The sequence below is a fragment of the Homo sapiens genome, unplaced genomic scaffold, assembly GCF_000001405.40.
Source record: "Homo sapiens unplaced genomic scaffold, GRCh38.p14 Primary Assembly HSCHRUN_RANDOM_CTG42".
Classification (NCBI taxonomy): Eukaryota; Metazoa; Chordata; class Mammalia; order Primates; family Hominidae; genus Homo; species Homo sapiens.
The window spans coordinates 11,472-29,968 of NT_187513.1; the positions used below are offsets into that span (position 1 = coordinate 11,472).

The 18,497-nt window shown below is 39.4% G+C and overlaps 1 pseudogene, besides 2 other annotated features; it reads left to right on the top strand.

Moving 5' to 3' along the window:
- Window positions 236-530: a silencer, noted in NCBI's record as "tiled region #3850; HepG2 Repressive DNase matched - State 22:ReprW". NCBI's record gives its function as "represses a minimal TATA promoter and a strong SV40 promoter by Sharpr-MPRA in HepG2 cells {active_cell/tissue: HepG2}" and the evidence as "EXISTENCE:reporter gene assay evidence [ECO:0000049][PMID:27701403]".
- On the top strand, window positions 7,094-7,246 carry ASNSP5 (ASNS pseudogene 5; annotated as a pseudogene).
- Window positions 9,090-10,076: an enhancer, noted in NCBI's record as "OCT4-NANOG hESC enhancer chr1:142801583-142802569 (GRCh37/hg19 assembly coordinates)". NCBI's record gives its function as "activates a minimal SCP1, AML or CMV promoter by ChIP-STARR-seq in primed H9 embryonic stem cells {active_cell/tissue: H9 hESC(primed)}" and the evidence as "EXISTENCE:reporter gene assay evidence [ECO:0000049][PMID:30033119]".

The following is an 18,497-nucleotide window of genomic DNA, read 5'->3' on the forward strand; positions in this document are numbered from 1 at the left end:
TTCCTTTTTACAGTAGGAGGCCTAACCGGCATTGTATTGGCCAAGGCTTATATTATGGTTCATTCATATATTTAGAAACCTGAAAGTTTCTAAATAAGTTGTAAAAAAGTTGTAAAAAAACCCCAGCTGAAATAACTACGAAGGTGCCTTTAATATTCTGAAGACAAAATAGCTAAGATCCAAACTGGGAGTAGATACCCCGCTATGCTTAACTCTAAACTCAAATAGTTAGATCAAAAAAACTGTTCGCCAGAACACTACAAGCAACAGCTTAAAACTCAAAGGACTTGGCGGTGCTTTATATCCCTCTAAAGGAGCCTGTTCTATAATCGATAAACCCCAATTTACCTCACCACCTCTTGCCCAGCCTAAATACCCCCATCTTCAGCAAACCCTGGAAAGGCTGCAGAGTAAGCACAAGTATCTACACAAAAACTTTAGGTCAAGGTGTAGCCCATGAGGTGGCAAGAAATGGGAACGTTTTCTACATCCAGAAAAATGTCGCGACAACCGTTATGAAATCTAAGGGCTCAAGGAGGATTTAGCAATAAATTGAGAGCAGAGTGTTTAATTGAATAAGGCCATGAAGCATGCACACACCGCCCATCACCCTCCTCAAATATATTCTAGAAACTCATTCTATACCCCCCTGTGATATTGTCCATAATATCCAGGGAGGGAGAGAATGATTTGATTTTTTTTTTTTTTTTGAGACAGAGCCTTGCTCTGTCACCCGGGTTGGAGTGCAGTGGCCTGATCTTGGCACACTGCAAGCACCGCCTCCCAGGTTCACACCATTCTCCTGCCTCAGCCTCCCTAGTAGCTGGGACTACAGGCGCCCGCCACCGCGCCTGGCTAATTTTTTGTATTTTTAGTAGAGACGGGGTTTCACCATGTTAGCCAGGATGGTCTCGATCTCCTGACCTCGTGATCTGCCCGCCTTGGCTTCCCAAAGTGCTGGGATTACAGGTGTGAGCCACCGCTCCTGGCCAGAGAGAATGATTTTACTCCCCATATCGCAGGGGATTTACATTCCCCTGCATTATTTCTCGTAATACCCAGGGGGAAGATGAAGATGTTACTCCCCATATAGCATGGGAGAACAATTCCCTGCGATATTGTTCATAATATCTCTGGGGGGAAAGAACTGTATTTCTCCTTTTATCACAGGAAGTGTACACCCCCTTGTGATATTGTTTATAATATCTAGTGGGGGGGAGGATGATGCTACTCCCCATATTGCAGGGGGTGTACAACCCCCTAGAATATTGTTCATAATATCCACGCGGGGAGGAGATGATGTTACTACCCATATCGCAAGGGTGTACTGCCCCCTGCCATATTGTTTGTAATATCCAGGCTGGGAAAGGATGATATTACTCCCTGTATCACAGGGGATGTACACACCCCTGTGATATTATTAGTAATATCCATGGGGGAGATAATACTACTTCCAATACCATAAACACCCTGTGTGTACACCCTCTGTGATATTTTTTGTAATATCTAGGGTGGGAGAGGAGTATATTACTCCCTATAAGGCAGAGTGTGTTTACACCCCTCTGTGATATTGTTCATAATATCCACTGGGGGATATGATGTTACTCCCAATATCATAAACACCTCACATGTACACCGTCTGTGATATTATTTGTAATATCCAGTGGGGGAGAGGATGATATTACTTTCCACATCGCAGTGGGTTTACACCCCTCTGTGATACAGTTTGTAATATCTAGAGGGGGAGAGTGTTATATTACTCCTCATATCTCAGGACATGTACACCCCCCTGTGATATTGTTTGTAATATTGTTCCCAATATCCTTTTCCCCCATGGATATAGGAACAGTATTGCATAGGACGTGTACACCCCCTGCCATATTGGAAGTAGTAGTGTTTTCTCCCTCACTGGACATTAGGAAAAATACCATGGGGGTTGCACACCCCCTGTGATATTGACAGTAATGTAATCCACTATCCCCTAAATATAGGAACAATATCACAATGGGGATGTACACACTTGGCGATATTGAAAGTGATATGATCCTCTCCCCACCTGGATATTAGGAACAATATCACAGAAGGGGTGTACACCCCCTGCGATATTGACAGTAATATCCTCTCCCACCCCCGGATATTAGGAGCAATATCACAGAAGGGTTGTAAACTCCCTGCGATATTGACAGTAATATCCTCTCCCCCCCGGATATTAGGAACAATATCACAGAAGAGGTGTACACCCACTGTGATATTGACAGTAATTTCCTCTTCCCCCCCCCCCCCCGGATATTAGGAACAATACCACGGGGGGTGTACACACCCTGCTATATTGACAGTAATATCATCCTCTCCCCCCCAGATATTAGTAACATTATCACTGAAGGGTTCTACACCCCCTGTGATAGTGACAGTAATATCCTCTCCGCCCCCCAGATATTAGGAACAATACCACGGGAGGATGTACACCCCCTGTGACAATGACAGTAATATCAACCTCTCCCCCCACCCCGGATATTAGGAAGAATACCACGGGGGGTGCACACCCCCTGTGATATTGGGAGTAATATCACCCACTATCCCCTAAATATTAGGAAAAATATCACAAGGCGGGGAGTACACCCTCTGCGATATTGGGAGTAATGTCATCCTTTCCCTGCCCCTGCATACTAGGAATAATATCACAGGGGATGTACACCCCCATAAGCTATTGGGAGTAACATCACTCTTTCTTCCCATGGATATTAGGAACAATATCACAGAAGTGGTGTACACACGCTGCACTGTATAGAATAAAGCAGGCGGAGGAAGATGGGATAATCTTGCTAGGTGAAGCTTCTGGCTCTCTTTTTTTCTTCTTCCCGTGCAGGACACTTGCTTCCCTTCTTCCTGCCCTCGGACATGAGACTCCAGGTTCTTATGCCTTTGGACTCTCGGACTTGCACCAGCGGCTTTCCCGAGGCTCTCAGGCCCTCGGCCTCATACTGAAGACTGCACTGCGGGTTTTCCTGGTTTTGAGGCTTTTGGACTTGGACTGAGCCACTACTAGCTTCTCTCTTTCCCTACCTGGCAGACAGCCTATTGTGGGACTGCCTTCTAACCGTGTGAACCAATTCTCTCTCGTAAACTCCCTTATACATATACGTGTATCTTGTTGGTTCTGTACCTCTGGAGAACCCTGACTCATACATTTTGTTTATTTTTTCTCCATTGCCCTTTCCTCTGCTTCTAGGCTTACCTAGACCACCACCATTCTTTCCCCCTTTCTAAAGTAAAAGCTGTTTTTTTCTCACTAAGTGCATGGTATTCTGCCCGTTTTCCATGGCTTCCCTCAGCCCTGCTCTGTTTATTCTTGCTATCTTAAGAGGAAATCCCTGCCTCTTCCGTGGCTTTTCCCACTTGGTCTACATACTGGTTTCTGTTGTTCTCAGAGACACACTGAGACCTTTCACATCTCACTGTCACTTCTTGGAAGGGCTCTCTACCTCGCCTGCCTGCTGAGCAACCTCTTGGGGAGACGCGGGCCCTCTTGAGTCACTGAACTTGAGCTATATGGTGTTGGTATGCTAATTTATCTTCTTAGACCACTTACCACTTCTTTAACTTCAAAAGAGAAGAATAAGTATTATTTTCCATGGTTGATATGAAGAGTAGAAATAACTTATACAAAATGCATTGCAGTTAAGTGATAATAAATGGCCGTGAATGCCCTTATTAATGTTATTCTATCAGTCTCGGCTCAGATACCATCTGCTCTGTAAGCTCTGCTCTGAATCATATCTGCTTCTTCTCTGGGTTCCTTGTGCTCTGTTCTTAACTACTTTAAAGCAGTAATTGTTCTGATTCTAATTAGTGATCCTTCCCAATAAAATTTTAATTTTGTAGATCTCTTTCCCCTACCCCTGTCCCAGCCTAACCAGTGTTTTCTTACTTTTTTGTGTACAGGCTACATCACTGGTCTTTTATTTGTGGCTAAATAAATGTTGTGTTAGAAGAGTAAAGAGTTCCCAGTTACATGGGATCTATAGTTCTACAAAATGAATGTATACGGCCGGGCGCGGTGGCTCACGCCTGTAATCCCAGCACTTTGGGAGGCCGAGGCGGGCGGATCACGAGGTCAGGAGATCGAAACCATCCCGGCTAAAACGGTGAAACCCCGTCTCTACTAAAAATACAAAAAAATTAGCCGGGCGTAGTGGCGGGCGCCTGTAGTCCCAGCTACTTGGGAGGCTGAGGCAGGAGAATGGCGTGAACCCGGGAGGCGGAGCTTGCAGTGAGCCGAGATCCCGCCACTGCACTCCAGCCTGGGCGACAGAGCGAGACTCCGTCTCAAAAAAAAAAAAAAATGAATGATACATAATCCATGTAAATATTTCACTTATTTTAAAACAATTTTTTAATTTTTAAATTAAATTTAATTTGTGCATGTGTGAGAGACCAGAGTGAGACCAGAGATGGCAGCGGTGAGGGGCGGTGGTCTCACCATGTTGCCCAGGCTGGTCTTGAACTCCCCTTCAAGTGCCCCCCTCCTCACCTGGCCCCCCTCACCTTGCCTCCTCCCCCTCACTCCTATGCCAGCCCCTGCCATTCCCTACGCCCTCTGTTGACCGCAAGACTCAACAAGTGACTTGCTGAGCAAACCCTGCTGAGAAGAGATCTGTTTAGGGACACAGGAGGCCAAGTACACAAAAAAGCAAAAGAACTAGCATGCCTTTTTCAATGGATGTCTATTTTACAGGGCTGGCTTCAGATTATTGTTATAGCTTTAAATAAAAGGACCGTTTTGTCATCTCGGCCCATGGCCTACATTATTTCTTTACTGTCCATTGCCCTGGGCTCTTGACTAATAATTTAACAGCAATTTTTTTAAAAATTTTAAATCATGATTCATTGCATTGCTGTAAGAGTAATTAGAGGTAAATTAGGGCTTGAAACTGCCTGTAGTGGGTTACTTTCTGAGATCTTAACATAATTATCAGGTGAGAGGGTGAAGTTTTAATTAGCGCTAAGTGGGATAGAAATTCAATGCACTGAAACTGCAGTGTCCAATTCAGTAGGCACTAGCCACCTGTAACTGTTGAGCACTTGAAATCCTGGCTAGTCCTAATTGAGATGTGTTGTGTTATATATACTGGATTTTGTCATTGGAGTGGGAAGAACAGCGTAGAATATCTGCTTGATAATTTTTTATATTGATTACATGTTAAAATTATTACTATGATTACTATTTGGGACATACTGAGTTAAGTATATTTAAAATTAATTTCACCTTTTAATGGGGTTTACTAGTACATTTAAAATTACATATGTGGCTCACATATTTATTGGACAGCACGGCTCTAGAAGTTTAGGAAGAAATAAGAAAAATATTGAGAATAGGTAGCGACAGTAGGAAGTTTGACCTCCTGTAAGACTGATTCCAATAAAACTAATAGGTGATAGTTTTAATTGGCTTTTTCCTACTAGAAAAAGTAAGTGTACTTTACGTGTCTCTTTGTTCTCCCTCTTTCCCCTTCAATTTAGTGGTTAGCGTGTATTTACTATATCAGGCTTAATATTCACTAAGCAGTGTTAAGAAGACTTAGGTAAATGATTCCCTGATGAACACACTTGATTTTCAAAGCACTTTCCTAACCCATTTTTAATTGGAATAGAGTCAAAGGTAGATGGCTTATTAGTAGTCATCTCATTTAAACCTCATGGAATTTTCCTGCTAAATCTCAAAGTAAACAATTTGTTATAGGCTGTTTTGTCAAGTGCATGGAAGGGACAGCATAAGACATGTGGTACTTCATTTCAAAATTGCTTGAGATGGTTTTCATTATAATCATACATTATTTGCTTCTGGTTTTCCGGAAAAGCCAGCTAAACCTGTGGTTCATTTAGATATAAATGAAATATCTTCAAAGGATTGCTCAAAGTGACTTATGCAACTTGAATATATATTTTTTTCTGTAGGGTGTTTATTCCAAATTATCTGGCCATTTGTGGCAATTTGCAGTTTTTTAGAAAACACCAAATATTTTTCAAGTTAGAGATGTTTTAATAAAAACAGTCATATTGAACTGGAAGCAGCCAAATAAAATGGCCCTTTATTTCACAGTTGAGAATTTGAAATTGGAAGGTAATTAACATATGTAAGGATGATGTATTTGCTGCCTGGCTTATAGGAATGAGCCAAGGTGTTTTTTGAGGGATGTTGTTGCTGTGTATGTCCCACCTATTTTGCTTCCTTAATGAACAATGCAAGTTTGAGACAGAAATATTTGAGAACATTTTTATCAGTTGCGACATTTTGATAGTGAACATTTTATATCTTCTGTCAACTTAAAATGTTTGCATCTTCTGTCTGCTTAAAATGTTTAATTTGTTATAGCCAAATAATTTGGCTATAATTGATTTTAATTTATCAAATTAAATTGCTTTTTTTCCCTTTAGACTTTCTTCAGTCACATCTGAATAAATCACTTAGAAGTAAGCTAGATGTAATATAATGAAATGCTTAAAAGGGCTGTTTATCTTCATATTACACTTACAGTGATTTTCTGTTGTACCCATTATATTCTACCTGCAGCTAGTTGAGGTAAAGAGAGGGCATTTAACTGTCATGGGAACCTGTGAGGAGACTGTAGAAATCTGGAAAGTCTCTTGGGTCTTTGAGGGATTTTGGGATGCAGAGAGTGGGGCTGGGATCTCTGGCTAGGTTGGAGCCAGCCTGCATTTGTATCTTTATCTTGGAAGCAAACTTAGAATGCAGAGATAGATGTGGCCTGGATGCTGCTAATTCTAGCCAACCACTAAATCTTAAGGTGGGAGAGATGCAGGCTTTGGCTGGGTGCTAAGCTGCTGTAGCTGGTTGAATGTAGAGGTCACTATTTTTTCTGAATACTTGTAAGTAAATTAAATCATTCTCTACTCCTGTATGCCTGCCAACCAAATGGGAAATCGCTATAGAAAAGATGGTTTAAATTTTAGTCTTTGAAGTGGTTAATGCACGTTTCTGGAATCAAGATTTAATGTGGACTTGGATTGGATATTGAATATTTTTTATTTGTCTACTTTTCTCTCCATAGGGAGCTTATAGCTTCATTGCACTGTGTGTGGCATTTGGGTCCTGTTTGGCAGCAATGACTGCCTTTCTATTTAGTGTCTGTGTGCTATGAAGATTGCACACAGGGGTCCAGATGCATCCTGTTTTGAGAATGTTAATGGATACACCAGCTGCTGCTTTGGATTTCACCCATTGGCGGTTTCTATAAAAACTTTAGACACAGTGAGCCACTCTTCTCAGGGAATGGTGGAAACCCTCCCAATTCCAATTTCCTAAACACCAGCCAAGGGCCAGCCTTGCATGCAGGCCTTTCTAAGGATGGCAGTCTCTTGCCTGTTATATGAAATCTTTTCTGCACACTTTGTATAGCCCCAACTTAATTTTTGGTGTTGTTTTAAAATTTCATTTTAATAACATAATATTATAAGATAAGGTAACTTGGTACTAATTTCTGTTGTATGATCCATCTTAAGTTGCAGCGCTGGTTACTTTTTTGACTTTCAGTGACGAACAGCTATTTGTACATAAGTTACCATAGCAATGTTAGGTAATTATAATCTGTCCTATTTATCTCATTTACCTTTCAGTAAAATTGTTAAATAAGCAAAATAATTTCTGAGTTAAAATTAGAATAAAAATTGTCTTTTATTTGGATTACATGAATAATCTAGTTTTCATATTGTGCTAAAGCCCTGCTTAGAATTATGAAATAAGATAAAATATTCAATCATTTTTATCAATATTTTCTTACCTAAGCATGCAATTAAATTTATTTATTTTATATATTTTATATACTTCAATTTGAGAAATAATGACCACGTGTTGTTACTTTGGTCTTCAATGATCTCTAATTTTTAGGGTCACCGTGTCTTGCTTAAATATATCATAGTAACAGGTTCAGTGAATATCTTTATTTTTAATTTTATTTACTTATTTTTTTTTGAGACAGAGTTTTGCTCTTGTTGACCAGGCTGCAGTGCAATGACACAATCTTGGATCATTGCAACCTCCACCTCCCAGGTTCAAATGATTCTCCTGCCTCAGCCTCCCAGGTACCTGGAACTACAGGCATGCACCATCATGCCCAGCTAATTTTTTATATTCAGTAGAGATGAGGTTTTACCATGTTAGTCAGGCTGGTCTCGAACTCCTGACCTCAGGTGATCCACCCACCTCAGCCTCTCAAAGTGCTGGGATTACAGACATGAGCCACTGCCCCCAGCCATCTTTTTTATTTATTTATTTTAATTGTTGTTCTGGAGATCCTGGGATGCATAGACAGTGAATATCTTTTTTGTTTTTTGAGACAGAATCTCACTCTGTCTCCCAGGCTGCAGTGCAGTGGTGCGATCTTGGTTAACTGCAACCTCTGCTTTCTAGGCTCAAGCGATTCTCCTGCCTCAGCCTCCCAGGTAGCTGAAATTACAGGTGCCAGCTACCATGCCCAGCTAATTTTTGTATTTTTATTAGAGACGAGGTTTTGCCATGTTGACCAGGCTGGTCTTGAACTCCTGACCTCAGGTGATCCACCCACTTTTGCCTCCCAAAGTGCTGAGATTACAGGCATGAGCCACTGAGCCCAGCTGAATATTTTTTTTAAATCAATAACCTTATTTCTTAGAGTAGTTTTAGGTTCACAGCAAAATTGAGAGGAAGGTACAGAGATTTCTCATATATCCCATGCCTCCCACACACGCATAGCCTCCCCCATTATTAATATTTTCCACCAGAGAGTGGTCCATTTGTTACAACTGATGAACTTACATTGACATAATCACTTGAAGTTCATAGTTTACATCAGGCCTCACTCTTGATGCTGTACATTCTGTGAATTTGGACAAATGTATAATGACATGACATGTATCTATTACTGTAATATTATCGACAGAACAGTTTCACCGCCCTAAAAATTCTCTGTGCTATGCCTGTTCATCTCTCCCTTTCTCCCTAGCAACTCGTGACAACAATTGATGTTTACTCTGTCTTCATAGTTTTACTTTTTTCAGAAGAGTCATATAGTTGGAATAAGAAGAATGGATATCTTTTTGAGTAGTTAAAAAATTAAAGCTCCATGGCAGTTGAATGTAGTCATTTAAGATGTTCTTTGTCCTTTTGTTTTTCTTTTGCTTCTTTATCATTGTAAAGAATGATGTATTCTGTTGAGATATGATTTACATACTTAGAAAACATGATTTGTATAGATATGTGGCACATAATAGAAAGGGTTGAGGAAAAGGACACCACGCCGTACTACACAGCACAACCTGGAGCATCTTGCTCTGTGAGGTGGGTCCAGATAGACTTTTTAGCAATGGAAGGGGACAAGTGCAAAGGGTTGTGCTTTATAAAACTGGAATCACAAAGTCTTTCATACTTACCTTCGGTTGGAAATAAGACCAGGCAGTGAATGCTATTAGGTAAATACATAAGTTCCTCACTGATCCTCTTCCTTTGAGGGATGAGGTTGACAACAGCCTGTATTATGATGACATGACTCACCTACAACTAGATTCTGTCATGAGAGATGACAAGGGAGTTTTGCTTTATGCGAGGTGCAAAAGTTTTTTTCTCCTACTAGGGAGATGGGCAAGCATTAGAACATTCTGGTAGTAAAAGGGCATTGATAGTTTTCTTTCTATATATTTTTTCACATCAGATAATATTGCCCGGCAGCCTGCCATACCTCCCGAGTGTTTATTCAGCTTCTCTCTGAATGTGGATAAGCTCTTAACGGAGTGATCTTTCCAGTGGTTCTTTCGTGGGAGGTAAAATGGCAGGTGAATTTGGGCCTTGTTATACGTAGGCCAGAGCAAATAGCTACAACTAAGGAAACCACCCAGCACCTTACCCAGAAGAGTATTAGCCAGAGTAACACACTGATCTCTCTTGAGATCTTCTCCACTGGTGGCTGGAAAGTCTTTGCAAGGATTCCTGTTTCTGGTCTGATTCCTATGTTTTGTTGGTTTCTGGCGATAGCATGTTTAATTCTAAACTAAACAGTTTGAACTGAAGAGCTAGAGAGGCTGTGTTGTGTTATAACAAAATAAGTGCAGTAACTACATCTTAACTGTGGGAGATACATTCCAAGACCCCCAGTGCATGCATGAAACCATGAAGAGTACTGAATCACAAGCTGTTTTTCCCTATACATACATATCTATGAGAAAGTTTAATTTATAAATTAAATTAAATCTGATGTTATCTGTAGATAGGGTGTGAGAATTGAATTGTGTCATCAGCAGGAATGATTGCTTGTTTGTTGGTGGGGAAAAACTCTCCACACATTTGGTCACAGAAGCCTTCTTTGTTGATGATTGTTGCTGTGGTGTGACAACAGAGAAAAACGTGTCAAGTATGTCTTTCTGCGCATATAGTGGATAAGGGGTACTAGTGTATACTCTGTTGTAATGGCCCCTCATATTTTGGTCCAGAAATCATGCTCTTTGACACTGTTGACTCATCACACCTGTTCTGCTAACAATACCATTTTTACTCAATCTCATAGGCTTTGGCTAGGATGACTTGTATACTGCAGCTCACTTGTAGATACCAAATTTTAATAAATTTATTCTTCTTTGCATCTAATAAACACAGAGGGAAGAGTTCTTACTGCATTAATTACCTACCAATACGTATAATGAATGTTAATTCTAATAAGATCCCAGGCATGCTCCCAAAGGAATGCTTTGTAACAAAGCGTCAGTCTTATGCTTTAAAAAACCAAACCAAACCAAAACAACAACAACAACAACAACAACAACAAACAGGATGTAAAGCATACACACAAGTGTGCACAATTTTTTTATGAAGGTAGAGTCTTATTATGTTTCCCAAGCTGGTCTCAAACTTCTGAGCTCCTCAAGTGATCCTCCTGCCTCATCCTCTCAAGTAGTTTGGATTAGAGGCATGCATCACTGTGCATTCTTATGATTTTAATATTCTGTACATTTATTATTGATTTAAAATGCATTTTACCTTTTTCTTTAATAGATGTTGGAATTCCTGATGAATCTGCAGTCAGGTAAGATTTCATAGATTTAAAAAATTATGTTAACTAAGAAAATATAGATGGAAGAAACTAATATCTGTTGAGTGTTGTATTCTGGGCTAGACATCCTAATATGTTCTATGCATTTATCATCTCATAAAGCCATCATAACATCTGTGTTCCTATAACCTACTGTTAAATAAACAACTATGGATTAGAGCTGATTAATTGCCTCATGATCCCATAGTTAACAAAGTAGCTGGCCTACAGTTTGACCATCAGCCTACCTGCCTTCCAAATCCTTTCTCTTGCTCCTCAGCATAGATTGATAGATATCTGTGCAGTCCTTGGATCAAAGTATAGGTCTGAATCAGATCAATCGGATTCATTAATTTGATTAACTTCTAAATTAATGAGAGTTTAAATACCTTGAACTCTCATTTAAGTTTATTGTTAGAATGTGGTTAGTCCTAATAAATTTGACGATTTCAGTGGTAACCAGTATCTTATTTTTACCTTCAAAGGCTCTAGGGCAGATCTGACTTAGCTTTGGCCATAGGACTGTAAGTTTTACCAAAGCAAGTTTAGGCAAGTCTTAGAGACAAATTATTTGACTTCCCAGTTTGGTTTTCCATTTAGGCAAGTATTTCTGCTTACTTCCATAATACATTTTTTAGTCTTGTTGCTTTTTCCATGACTTTTATATAATCTTGTCTTCATTTTTTAAAACTTTCTTCTCTGTTTTTCTTGGTGTTTCTTTTGTTCTATTATTTTTTTCAAACTCTGCTGCCTATGTATTCCAAGTTTTTCTATAGACAGAATCAAGAGGACATAGAATTACAGAATTTTAAGGAATCTTGGAATGAATTAAAATACCTTCTAGTATTTTTATCTGCATTGAACATTCTGGTCAAGTGATTCTCTAGATAGAGAATGTGAGGCTCAAAGAGATTAGGAAGCTTTTTTTTTTAGACATAGGAATTGGCAGAAATGAGATTTGAACTCATGGTAAAGCCCAGTACTCTTGCTTCTTTTTATGTCCTATTGGCGTGTGTTTTAATAATACAAACGGGAGTGAGCCTGTGGATAGAATGAGAATGGAATTAGCTGGTGAACCCAATGGAAGTAGATAAGAATGGAATGAGCAGGGGAAGTCCAAGTTTGAAGATAAACAACACTGGACTGGATAGGAGTACGGACTCTTCTACAAGAGATCAAAGTATTGGGGTTTATGACAAGTTTGATAAAGATAAATTATAAAAATGAAGGACACAAGATGTTGGGAATTATCTACAAAGGCACATTAAAATAGAAGGTTCAAGGGAGCTCTAAAAATTTTGCTGCTTTTTTTTTTTAAATCAAGGACTGACAAACTTGAAGATTTTTACTGAAAGATGCCAAAACATTTTGAGACACTGGGAAGAATGTCTACAGCAGATAAAAATGTGGTGTCATCTACTTCCATCCTGACTTACAAAGGGGTGGCTTAGAGCCCCTGGAGTACTAAGGGGCTGGAAATTGCTGAACTACATAGATGTGTGGCACAGGACAGGTGTCTCCTCACCTCTGCCTCTTTTCACGGTTCACTGATGTCCTTCCCATGTCCATGTGGGCTGGGTCAGGGGCATGATTAGCTGGCAAATCAGTCATGGAGTTCAGTTGGGTAGTTGGTAGTGTGTATAGCTGGTGGCAGGTGATGGAGACTCCAGTTAGCTTGTTTTTCAGGAGCAGGGATATAGAGAGCTCCTACTCCTGGTCATTTGAGGCCATTCTTTCAGGAATCTGTGCTTTCATACACTGAAGATTTGAAGATTGGAGACTTCTGTGGAACCCTGCAGAAGTAGAATCTGGAAGTGGGTGTCCATAGGAAGAAATATACTTAGATAGTACTTAGGGAAATAGAGGTACAACTATCATGACTCTGTTTCTTTCCTCGCAGTCTCTCTCCTTGGGTGTCTGAGTGCCTATGAAAATTTTTAAGGGCTTGCTAGTTTATGTGGACCTGAATAAGGTAGGACCTATAGAGTGAAAATAATGGGATTTTATAATTGTTAATATTTTAATATTTCTGGGAAAAGTATTCTCAGTAAGAACATACACCTTTGCTATTTGACTTCTGTACATTTAGCTTTCATACATTTCAAATATTGTGGGGGCTTTCCTGTACCAATTTAGGGTAAAGGAAAGCAATAGGACCTTCCTAAGTTGGATCCATGCTGAGGAATCAAGACTACCATTTTGAAGTGATGTAGATTAGTCTTTTATCCAGAGACAGATCACAGAAAAGAGACAGTGGATCTTTCTACCTTGTTTTAGGTCATCAGTTTTATTCCAGTTTAGGGAACAAAATTTATGTCATCCATTAATTGAATTTTAAGTTCAGCTTCAGGACAGATAATTTGTGAGGGCACATTATTGTCAGGCTCTGCCAATATATTGACTGTCACTATTTGTTATAAACCTCAAGGTAAGTTTTCATTGAATATTTTATAGATTTAGACAGGTGGAGGCAGAAATAGGTAACTAAAATCTATTTTTAGAACAGAGGACATATTTTAATTATATCAAGAATCATAATTTAATATATAGATCACTGACCTTTCCCCAGATTATGTTTTCCTTTTTTTGAGGGGGAAGCTGGATATAAACTGGCAGTTAAAAAAATTGTAAAGAAATCAACTTGCTCATTTTCATTGTGTATTTTTGCTCTCAAGCATTTTGCATAAACTGTGTGTGGATTCATTGCCTACATTGGATGATGAAGACTTGAGTGTTGCTACTAAGGTAAAGTGGTCTCTTGTAAAATTAATCTTCTCACTCTGAGTGTAGTTTTGCATAGTATTTACTTTTCAAATTTAGCAGTGGTTTACCTATCATTGTTTTATGGTGGTAATGGAAAGCTGGTCAGAGAAAAACATACACATGGCTAGTTGATTCAAAAAATGTGTTTAACTTTGGTAACTAATAAAGATTGGTAAGTACTGTGACAGGGTGGGAGCTGAAAAATAAATGAACTGGAAAACAAGTAGTCACAGGAAAATCACATTAGGAAATGCTTTCTCCAATAGAGGAAATATGAAATTTGGTTAAAGTTTATTTGGATAAATACTACTACTTTGACTTTTAAATCATACGAGTGTGACTTTCTTAATATTTATTCCTGTATAAATCTTCAGTGGATCAAATTGTTTGCAGTAATCATGGAATCCTCCTGGTAATTTTTAGTGGCAGAAATGTTCAGCACATAGCATATAGCTTTTGTTCTTGGAAACTTATCATTTTGGTGTCATATAGTTTTTAGGAGAGATTGTTTCTCTACTTATATTATTGGTTCTGTAGTGAGACTAAAAAAGTATTAAAAATTGTAGAAAAATAGCTGAGTTTGGTGGTGTACACCTGTAGTCTCTGCTACTTGGGAGTTTGAGACAGTAAGATTGCTTGAACACAGGAGTTTGAGAACAGCCTGGGCAACATTGTATCTGATTTAAAAATATAAATTGTGGAAATGTAGAAATTTAAATTTATGTTCTCAAGATTTGTATTGCAAAGGGATTTTTATGTGATTTATGAGTTGTCCATGAAGAGTTTATATAAAACACTTCATCTAATTGAATAACTTGTATTTTCCTGCAAATAACCAGTTCTAGAAGCAGAGACTCTTAATACCAATATGGTAAGTCTTTATCATCATAATTTTGTCATTGTAGTTTATTTAAAATATTTACTTGGCCAGGCGTGGTGGCTCACACCTGTAATCCCAGCACTTTTGGAGGCCGAGGTGGGTAGATCACCTGAGGTCAGGAGTTCAAGATCAGCCTGGCCAACATGGTGAGACCCTGTCTCTAAAAAAAAAAAAAAAAAAAAAAAAGCACAAAAATTATCCAGGCATGATAGTGCATGCCTGTAATCCCAGTTGCTCAGGAGGCCAAGGCAGGGGAATCGCTTGAACCCAGGAGGCAAAGATTGCAGTGAGCCAAGATTGCACCATTGCACTGTAGGCTGGGTGACAGAGCAAGACTACATCTTAAAAAATAAAATAAAATAAAATAACCACTCAAAGTCCTTATATCATATTCTGAAAGTTTGAATGTCAGAAGGTTTTCTATTTAGTTTTTTAAATGATCATTGGAAGCTCCTGCATACCATAAGCTACTGGAGGTCAGTAAACATATTTGTGTGTATCCTGGAGTACCTAGAATACAGTCTTCCATGTAAGAAGCATTTTACTTGTTGTTTTTTGAGATGGGGTTTCACTCTGTCACCCAGGCTGGAGGGCACTGGTGAGATCTTGGCTCACTCCGATCTCCATTTCCTAGGCTCAGGTGATCCTCACACCTCAGCCATCCAAGTAGTTGAAACAATAGAGCTATGACACCATAGACCTGTGTCACCATGCTGGGCTGAGTTTTGTAGAGATAGGGTTTTGCCTTGTTGCCCAGGCTCTTCTTTAACTGTTGGGCTCAGGTGTTCTGCTCGCCTCAGCCTCTCAAAGTGCTGGGGTTACAGACATGAGACATTCAGCCTTAATAGTTGTTTAATCTGAATAAATAAACAAATGAATTTTTATATAATGGAATGTTATAAGTAATATAATAAACCTAATGTATCTAATCATTAAATATTGTATTTAAAATATTGCTTACATTGTATTATTTTTTAATATTTAAGGGTGTATAAGTTTTGACATGTTATGTTGAGAAATTATGCCATAATTAAAAAGGAAATAAAAGAGAAATAGGTCATCGGTAGCAAAGAGGGTTACAATATATTTTCTAGTATCATTCAACTGGAATCTTAACATTGAGATTTTAGATTAACATTTCTTAAGCTTTTTGTTAGACCCAACTCATGTTCCATTAAATATACTGTTTCAAGCCATACATTACTCTTTATTATTATTATTATACTTTAAGTTCTAGGGTACATGTGCACAACGTGCAGGTTTGTTAAATATGTATACATGTGCCATGTTGGTGTGCTGCACCCATTAACTCGTCATTTATATTAGGTATATCTCCTAATGCTATTCCTCCCCTCTCCCCCCACCCCATGACAGGCCCTGGTGTGTGATGTTCCCCATCCTGTGTCCAAGTGTTCTCATTGTTCAGTTCCCACCTATGAGTGAGAACATGTGGTGTTTGGTTTTCTGTCCTTGCAACAGTTTGCTCAGAATGATGGTTTCCAGCTTCATCCATGTCCCTACAAAGGACATGAACTCATCATTTTTTTATGCTGCATAGTATTCCATGGTGTGTAAGTGCCACATTTTCTTAATCCAGTCTATCATTGATGGGCATATGGGTTGGTTCCAAGTCTTTGCTATTGTGAATAGTGCCACAATAAACATACATGTGCATGTGTCTTTATAGCAGCATGATTTATAATCCTTTGCATATATATCCAGTAATGGGATGGCTGGATCAAATGGTATTTCTAATTCTTGATCCTTGAGGAATCTCCACACTGTCTTCCACAATGGTTGAACTAGTTTACAGTCCCACCAACAGTGTAAAAGTGTTCCTATTTCTCCACATCCTCTCCAGCACCTGTTGATTCCTGACTTTTTAATGATTGCCATTCTAACTGGTGTGAAATGATATCTCATAGTAGTTTCGATTTGCATTTCTCTGATGGCCAGTGATGATGAGCATTTTTTCATGTGTCTGCCATACATTACTCTTTAGAATTCTGGTGACCAATTCTTTTTCTGGGTGGAAAGTTGATGGAAAGTTCCAGTTTTCTCTCTCTGTTATAATAATGTTCTTTCAGGTAATGGTAGATGACCATATTTAGCTAATTGAATGTCTTATAGTAAGAAACACTATCACAGAAGTACTTACAAAAAACTAATTGCAGCATAAATATTAATTAGTATTATCAGAGTTATGAAAGACCGAAGGCTCTGTTATAGATCTATTTCCCCATGTACTTTATTATACTTCATGTTTTTCGTTTTCTTTCTTGGCTTAAGCTCATATTTCATTGACTAATTAGGCTTGTTTTTTGTTTGTATCTCTCTTTGTTCTCACATTTTAAATTGAAATTTTTGGGGAGGCAGGGTCTTGCTCTGTTGTCCATGCTGCAGTGTAGTGGCATGATCTTGGCTCACTGCTGTATCCACCTCTCAGGCTCAAGTGATCCTCCCACATCAGCTTCCCAAGCAGCTGGGACTACAGGCACACACCATCATGCCTGACTCCTTTTGGTATTTTTTGTGTAGAGATGTGTTCTCATTATGTTGCCCAGGCTGGTCTCCAACTCCTGAACTCAAGCAATCCACCCACCTTGGCCTTGCAAAGGGCTGAGATTACAGGTGTGAGCCACCATGCCTGGGCAACATTGAGATTGATTTAAAGAAATTGATTAGGGCTGGGTGTGGTGGTGCACACTGCTTATCTCAACACTTTGGGAGGCAGAAGTGGAAGATTTGCTTGAGCCCAGGAGCTTGAGACCAGCCTGGGAGGTATAATGAGGCCTTGTCTCTACAAAGATAACAATAAAAACATTAGCATGACATGATGGTATGCACCTGTAGTTCCAGCTATCCAGGAAGTTGAGGTGGGAAGATTGCTTGAGGTCTGGAGTTTGAGACCACAGTGAGCCATAATCAGGCCCCTGCATTCTAGCCCTGGGTTGACAGAGTGAGACCCAGTTTCATAAAAAGAGATTGATAAGAAACTCTTGATGCAACTCATTATAATTTTAAATGGAAACTAATTCTTGATATTACCTTAGCAGTGTGTCCCCGAGAAAGTGTCAGAGCCTTTACGTGGACCTTCTCATGAAAAAGGAAACAGAATAGTCAATGGAAAAGGAAAAGGTGAGAACCGTATTTTATTTAAAAAGTCATTTGATGGAGACCAGGCGCGGTGGCTCACGCCTGTAATTCCAGCACTTTGGGAGCCCAAGGTGGGCGGGTAATGAGGTCAGGAGATCAAGACCATCCTGGCTAACATGGTGAAACCCCATCTCTACTAAAAACACAAAAAATTAGCCGGGCATGGTGGCGGGTGCCTGTAGTCCCAGCAACTCGGGAGGCTGAGGCAGGAGGATGGTGTGCACCTAGGAGGTGGAGCTTGCAGTGAGCGGAGATCGTGCCACTGCACTCCAGCCTGGGTGACAGAGTGAGACTCCATCTCAAAAAAAAAAAGGCATTGATGGAATGTTTCTTTTAAAATATGAGCACTAATAGAGTTTAATAGCTAAAGAAAATGTCCTATTAACTGTATCATAAGTAAAAGAGAAATGAAATGGTGATAAGTGGTGTCTCTAACCAAGGGTCAGCAGTTGATTCTATTGGAAGTACCACTAAAGGAGCTGAGTTATGAGTTCCATTTTAACATACTCTAAGACCTGAGGCAAGTCAGGAGAGAGGGAAGAGGAAATGAATAAAAGAGAAAGAAAGAATGAGGAGGGAAGAGTGTACATGGAATAAATAAAAAAGAGTGGATGTATGTAATG